This window comes from Homo sapiens, chromosome X, assembly GCF_000001405.40.
Source record: "Homo sapiens chromosome X, GRCh38.p14 Primary Assembly".
NCBI classification, from domain to species: Eukaryota; Metazoa; Chordata; class Mammalia; order Primates; family Hominidae; genus Homo; species Homo sapiens.
In genome coordinates this window covers 40,491,857-40,498,958 of record NC_000023.11, presented here as the reverse complement: position 1 = coordinate 40,498,958, position 7,102 = coordinate 40,491,857, and positions in this window count along the sequence as shown.

Genomic DNA, 7,102 nt, shown 5'->3' with positions numbered 1-7,102 from the left:
ATGAGTCTGCCCCAAGTAAGCAGAGTTGCCACCTCCTCTCTATACAAGGCGGCTGCTGCCTGATCCTGGCCTGAGCTGAGGCACCTCCTTTGATCATGGAGAGCTCTAAGGGCTCCTGCTAATCCCTACTTATTCCTTCAGACATCCCATCAGCGCTACTTCTTCTGGGAAGATTCCCCCGATTACACTCCCTCCTCCAAGGCTAGGGTAAAGGCCTCATGTCATTGCACTCAATGTCGCCCAGCTCTATGCTGGTTCATATCATTCTTTGCATTGATGGCACCATATCAGATCATCAAGAGCCCCGGAGGTCCCAACTGGGGCCCAGCTCCTCTCAGGAAAGTCAGTGCCTGGAATAGCTCCCGATGCAGAATGTGTCCTTAACACATAACCATCAACACGGGCACCACAGGGGATTTATTGGGAAGCACTGAGGTGACCTCAACTTTAGTAGCAGAGAATTCTATGGTTTCTAGTTTGATTCCGAAGACAAAGCCCATGAGGTACTATAGTGCCCTGGCTTAGAAATTCCATGGATAAAGCCAATCCCACCTGAGTTTCCACGGAGCAGAATTCTCTGTCCTGGTTTAAGCAGTTATGCTTGCAGAATGAAGAAAGGATTCTTCCACGGTAATATAATTTCAACAGCACAGTGGTAAGAGCAGCAAGAGGCGATCTCCAGCCTCCTATTTATGAAAACAATAGCTCAAGTTTATGGTATTAACAGTAACCACAGCCACTTCACTTCCTCTCCTGCCACTCTCTCTCCACAGCCACTAGATGCACACATCCAGACACCAGACACAAAGGCAAACTCCCAGAAAGGCACATACACACACAGGAACAGGTACATGGGCTCAGAGACACCCACGGACACACAAGTTCATGGACACTCAGGCACACATACCACTGCATTTCCTTGAACATATAGAGCCCTGGTTTGGGAAAAGGATGAAGACCAAGACAAGCTGCCCTCTAGGAAGTGATGACACTGGTATCGGAATAAAGACTCAATCATGTTCTGGTGCTTTCCAGCTCTTTATCGGGCTCCAAGGGGTAAAGAAAAGAGAGATGGGCATCATAAAGGCCCCGCCTGGCTCTGTGTTCTCGGACTGAGGAGGCAGTGGGACTCTTGGCAGAAGCGAGCCGGGGTGCTGGCTGCAGAGTGATTTAAAGTAAAAATAAATGGTTGCTGCCACAGTAGCAGTAAAAAGACTATCAAGACCAATGCTTCTGCTGAACCGGGAGAAGTGCATCTGCCTGTGAGGCTGACAGCAGAGGGAGGGATGGTACCATTTTATGAGCCTCAAATCTGAGTCTGTCCAGCCTCGGCCCCAGTTCCTACTCACAAAATGTATTCTGGCTTGCCTAGTCCTGCATTTCCAGAATGGGAAGGGAGTTGTACCGCTCAGGGTTTAGTGCAAGAAATAGAAACTGCTCCAGACATTTTAAGCAGAAAGGGATTTAAAACAAGGAAATCATTGCTTACAGAATCATTGGAAGGTGTATTAGTCTCCCGAGGCCGCAAATGACCATTAACTGGATGGCTTAAAAACAACTCGATTCCCTTACAGTTCTAGAGGCCAGCAGTCCAAAATCAAAATGTCAGCAAGGCCACACTCCATCTGGAGGCTCTAGGGGAGAATCCTTCCTTGCCTCTTCCGGCTTCTGGGGGCTACTGGCCTTCCTTGTGGCAGCATCACTTCAATTTCTGCCTCTCATCTTTACAAGGCCTTCTCCTCTCTGTGTTTTCCCCTTTTCTGCCTGTTATAAGGATTTAGAGCCCACCTGGGTAATCCAAGCTGGTCTAATCTCAAGATACTTAATTACATTACAAAGACTCTTTTGTCGAATAGGGCCACATGCACAGGTTTTGGAGGTTAGGACAGGGACATAGCTTTGGAGAGGCCCCCATGGTAACCCACTACAGAGGGCTGTTATGAAAACTCTAGGCTGGGTTTCCAAGGACTCTCAGAACCTGCAGGATTGACCCACTAGGGGAGCTGCTATCTTTGCTACATGCAGGAAGGCCCGGAGCCAGGAAACCATCAATAGAAACAGCTGTGCTTAAAAACCCACTGCCGGAGCTGTGAGCTCCAAATCAGGGTACAGCCGCTGCTGCCACAGCAACTGTCTGGATACTGACAAAACTGATGAGTGGACACCAGAATGCTGCTGCAGAAAATTCCATGTCTTCTTGAGCCCATCAGTTGCCAGGCAGGGTTGACTACACAGAGGAGGTGATTGTGGTGGACTCTTGTTTGTTGCCTATCATCTAGCACATTTAATGTGCCGCTATCACAAAATACCACAGACTGGGTAATTTATAAATAGCAAAAATGTATTACTCACAGTTCTGGAGGCTGGGAAATTGAAGATCAAGGTGTCGGCAGGTTCAGTGTCTGGTGAGGGCTGCTCTCTGCTTCGTGGATGGCACCTTGTTGCTGCATCCTCTGGAGGGGAGGGACGCCTGTGTCCTCACATGGTGGGAGGGACAGAAGGGGCAAACTCGCTCCCTCAAGCCCTTTTTTTTTTTTTTTGAGACAGAGTCTTGCTCTGTCGCCCAGTCTGGAGTGCTGTGGTGCGATCTTGGCTCACTGCAACCTCTGCCTCCAGGGTTCAAGCAATTCTCTGCCTCAACCTCCTGAGTAGCTGGGATTATAGGCGCCCACCACCATACCTGGCTAATTTTTGTATTTTTAGTAGAGACAGGGTTTCACCATCTTGGCAAGGCTGGTCTTGAACTCCTGACCTCATGATCCACCCACCTCAGCCTCCCAAAGTGCTGGGATTACAGGTGTGAGCCACCACGCCCGGCCCCCCTTAAGCCCTTTTATAAGACACTAATCCCTTCCATGAGGGCAGAGTCCCCAGGGACTAATGACCTCCTAAAAGGCCCCACCTGTTAATACTGTTGCATTGGAATTAAGGTTCAACATTAATTTTGAAGGGGAGGCAAACATTCAAACCATAGCAGGGAACCACCTTGTATCAGCTATCTATAACTATGGAACAAATGAACCCACAACTTGGTGACTTCAAACAATCACAATTCATTGTTTCTCATGGTTCTGTGAGTTGACCAGGCTCAGCTGGGTGATTCTTCTGCTCCATGTGGTGTCTGCTGGTGCTGCTGGCATCTGAAGGTTCAGCTGCTTTTGACTGCTCAAGATGGCCCCACCTACAAGGCTGACAGATAGTCCTGGATGCTGCTGGCTGGAAGATCAGCTGGGGAAATTGGCCGGGCACCTCAATTCTCCCTCACATGGGCCTCCCCACATGGCTGCTTGGGCTTCCTCACAGTGTTCCATGATGCTGTGTTCTAACCATGGGAAAGTGAAATCCATAGATTTCTTAAGGCCCAGCTTTGAAATGTACAGTGTCATTTCTGCCATGTTTTATTGTCCAAAACAAGACACAGGGCTGGCCTTTATTAAAGGGGAAGGGAAACGGATTCTTATCTCTCAATGGAACTAGTGTCAAAGATTTTGTGGCCAGCTTTAATCCACTGCTCATCCCTAACTACTCTCAAGCCATGTGGTTTTGGTGGAGCTGACACCCCTATCTGAAGTGGCATGTGACCCACCAGAATATCTTTTCTCCAGCAATAGTGATTGGACCAGGGACAGTCACACAATCCAAGTCAGGCTTTGGGGACTTTTGTAAGAGATTTCAGGAAAATACGCTGTTTACTTTCTATGCCAAACTTGAACCAGAGCAAATATGAGGAGATGTTGCCTCTTAGCATCACCAGAAGAGTCCAAGAATGAAGCCAGCAATGGAAGAGAGCCAGACCCAGGAGGAGAGAGAGGGAGAAACTGAGTCTGGATGAAACAGTTTATTCCCTGAATACAGCAAAGCCTCATCAGATGTGGATGACCCATAGGCATCCCCAAGGCAATTCTGTCACCTCAGTAATTGCCAGGAACATAGGTAGGGGCTCTACCTGTCCTTCCCTACCACTCACTGCCAGGTGGTGAATTAGAATGAAAGCAACCCTCAGATGGAATTTGACCAGCCATATGATTATTAGGAAGCAGATACAAGGATGATGATATAATGTGTTCCTGTAGGCTGGGAAATGTCCCCACTCTGTCCTCAGGGCCTCTGATAGACACTTTGCATGCAGGATTTACTCTGAGGCAGATGCGATGGTATTCTCTTGACTGTCAGCCAAACTTCTGGGTGGATGAGGCACCACAATCCTCTGAAAATAGGGAGATGATAGAGGACCAAATGGATCTCCAGATTAAAGTGTTGCTCTGAAGGTGCCAGGTGGCTGCTCTAGCCTCATTCCTACCAGGGCACGGAGCCCACAGTCTTAAGCCATATATCCTAATACTTCTAAGATCTCTATGCCAATTAAGGAACCCTCTGGTGTAGATTTAGATATGGATATTTGAAGCACTGAGTAATTACTTCTGGAGTTTAGATTCCTATTAGGGTCTTTCAAATGCTAACGAACCACCCCTAGGGTAAGTATAATCACACACACACACACACACACACACACACACACACACGCACCACTCTGCATATATAGAGGTGTTTTAGAGTAAATTGTCACACAGATAATATAATACCATTCTGGGCTTGATGAGGTGCTACATGTGGCCTTTTAAGAAGTTCTCCCTTTCCTTGATTTCACTGGGAGGGAAAAGAGGTAACTAACAAAACTTTGAGCCAATCAGGGGAAGCCCTGTGGTGCATAGGGAGGTAAGGATCTCAGAGGACCATGGAGAGGCCCCGTGCTATCAAGGAGTCCTCTGACTCATAAGGAAAATTAGTTGTGTCAATGCATATGTGCATTTGGGGTGTGAAGGTAGGGAGAGTGTGGTAGCTTTTCTCAGATTCTCAAAAGGGTCCGGAGACCCAAGAGCATTTAAAAGTCTCTGAACTAGGCATGGTTGGGGAAAGAAGATAAAAAGAAACATCTTGCTTGGAGATAGCCTTGGGAAGGTTTAGCAACTTCCCGGTAGAGTCAGATATACTGGTCCAGGATTTGTGTTCTACTAGGGAAATTTCAAGATAATTATGGGGCCGGGCATGGTAGCTCACACCTGTAATACCAGCAGTTTGGAAGGCCGTGGTGGGAAGATTGCTTGAGCCCGGGTGTTCAGTACCAACCTGGGCAATATAGTGAGGCCCTGTCTGTACAAAAAAATAAAAAAAATTAGCAGGGTGTAGTGGTGCACACCTGTAGTTTGCCGACATTTTGCCACTGCACTCCAGCCTGGGCTATAGAGTGAGACCCTGTCTCAAAAAAAAAAAAAAAGAAAAATCATGGAAGGTCAGAGTGTGTTAAGTTGAGCAATTCAGAAGCAATAGTATTTTAAAAATTATTTTAAAATTTTTAAAATTATTATAAAAACCATAAAATTTATTATCTTAGTCATTTTCTTTTTTCTTCCTTTCTTTTTTTTTTTTTTTTTTGAGATGGAGTCTTACTTTGTCACCCAGGCTGGAGTGCAGTGGCGTGATCTGGGCTCACTGCAACCTCTGCCTCCCGGGTTCAAGCGATTCTCCTGCCTCAGCCTCCCAAGTAGCTGGGACTACAGACACGTGCCACCACGCCCGGCTAATTTTTTTGTATTTTTAGTAGAGACGGGGTTTCACCATGTTATTCCTGACCTCGTGATTCGCCTGCCTTGGCCTCCCAAAGAGCTGGGATTACAGGCATGAGCCACCATGCCCAGCCTATCTTAGCCATATTCATGTCGTGTTAAGTATATTCACATTGTTGTGAAATAGATCTCCAGAACTGTTTCATCTTACAAAAATGAAAGTCTACCCATTAAACAACAGCTACCCATTTCCCTTCCCCCCAAGCCTCTAGAAACTAGAATTCCACTTTCTGTTTCTATGAATTATTTGAATACTTTATATCCCTCGTATAAGTGGAATCATGCAGTATCTGTGTTTCTGTGCCTGGCTTATTTCACTAGCATAATGTTCTCAGGGTTCATCCATGTTGTTGCATATGACAGGATTTCCTTTGTTTCTATTTATTTTTTATGTTTAGCTAGTCAAGTGAAGCAGTGAGAGTGGAGACAGAACAAAGGAATCTGTAACTGGTTGTGATCGATTAGTTGTAAACACCACCACACTCAGGACTGTGGATTTCCTTTGTTTTTAGGGCTCAACAAGATTCCATTCTACGTATATGCCACATTTTGTTTATCCATTCATCTACTGATGGACCTTTTGGTTGCTTTTGCCTCTTGACTATTGTGAATACCGTTGCCGTGAATATGGGTGTGCAAATATCTTGTTGAGATCTTGCTTTCAATTCCTTTGAGTATATAGCCAGAAATGGGATTGCTGGATCATTATTTTAAATGTTTTAAGGATCCTCCATGCTGTTTTCCACAGCGTTAGAAGCAGCTGTATTTTCTGCTGAACCTGGAGCAGGGTCACTTATAGAGTAAGGTACAGACACTCTGGTCTCCTTTAAAATAGCTTTGTTGGCCAGGCGTGGTGGCTCATGCCTCTAATCCCAGCACTTTGGGAGGCTGAGGCAGGTGGATTGCTTGAACCCAGGAGTTTGAGACCAGCCTGGGCAACATGGCAAAACCTCATCTCTACTAAAAATACAAAAAATTAGCTAAGTGTGGTGGTGCATGCCTGTATTCCCAGCTACTCGGGAGGCTGAGGCACGAGAATCGCTTGAACCTGAGAGGTGGATGTTGCAGTGAGCTGAGATAGTGCACTCCAGCCTGGGTGACACAGTGAGACTCTGTCTCAAAAACAAAACAAAACAAAACAAAACAAAACAAAACAAAAAGCTTTGTTGTATATGAAGGCAGTATGGAATAGTGGTTTGGAGAAGTTAGACAGAGCTGTGTTCAAATCACAGCTCCACCATTAAGTGGCTTTGTGCTTATCTATTTAGGCCATTATCTACTCAGCTGTGAAATGGGTAACAATAGTACCTACCCTAACAGGGCTGTCATAAGGGCAAGGAAGTCGTACAATCATTTTAATTTAACAAATATGTATTCAGTGCTTACTACATGCTAGGCAGGCACTGTTAGAATCACTTCCCAAATATTGGCCCTCATAACAACCAAATGAAGTAGATGCTATTCTTTCTGATGAGGAA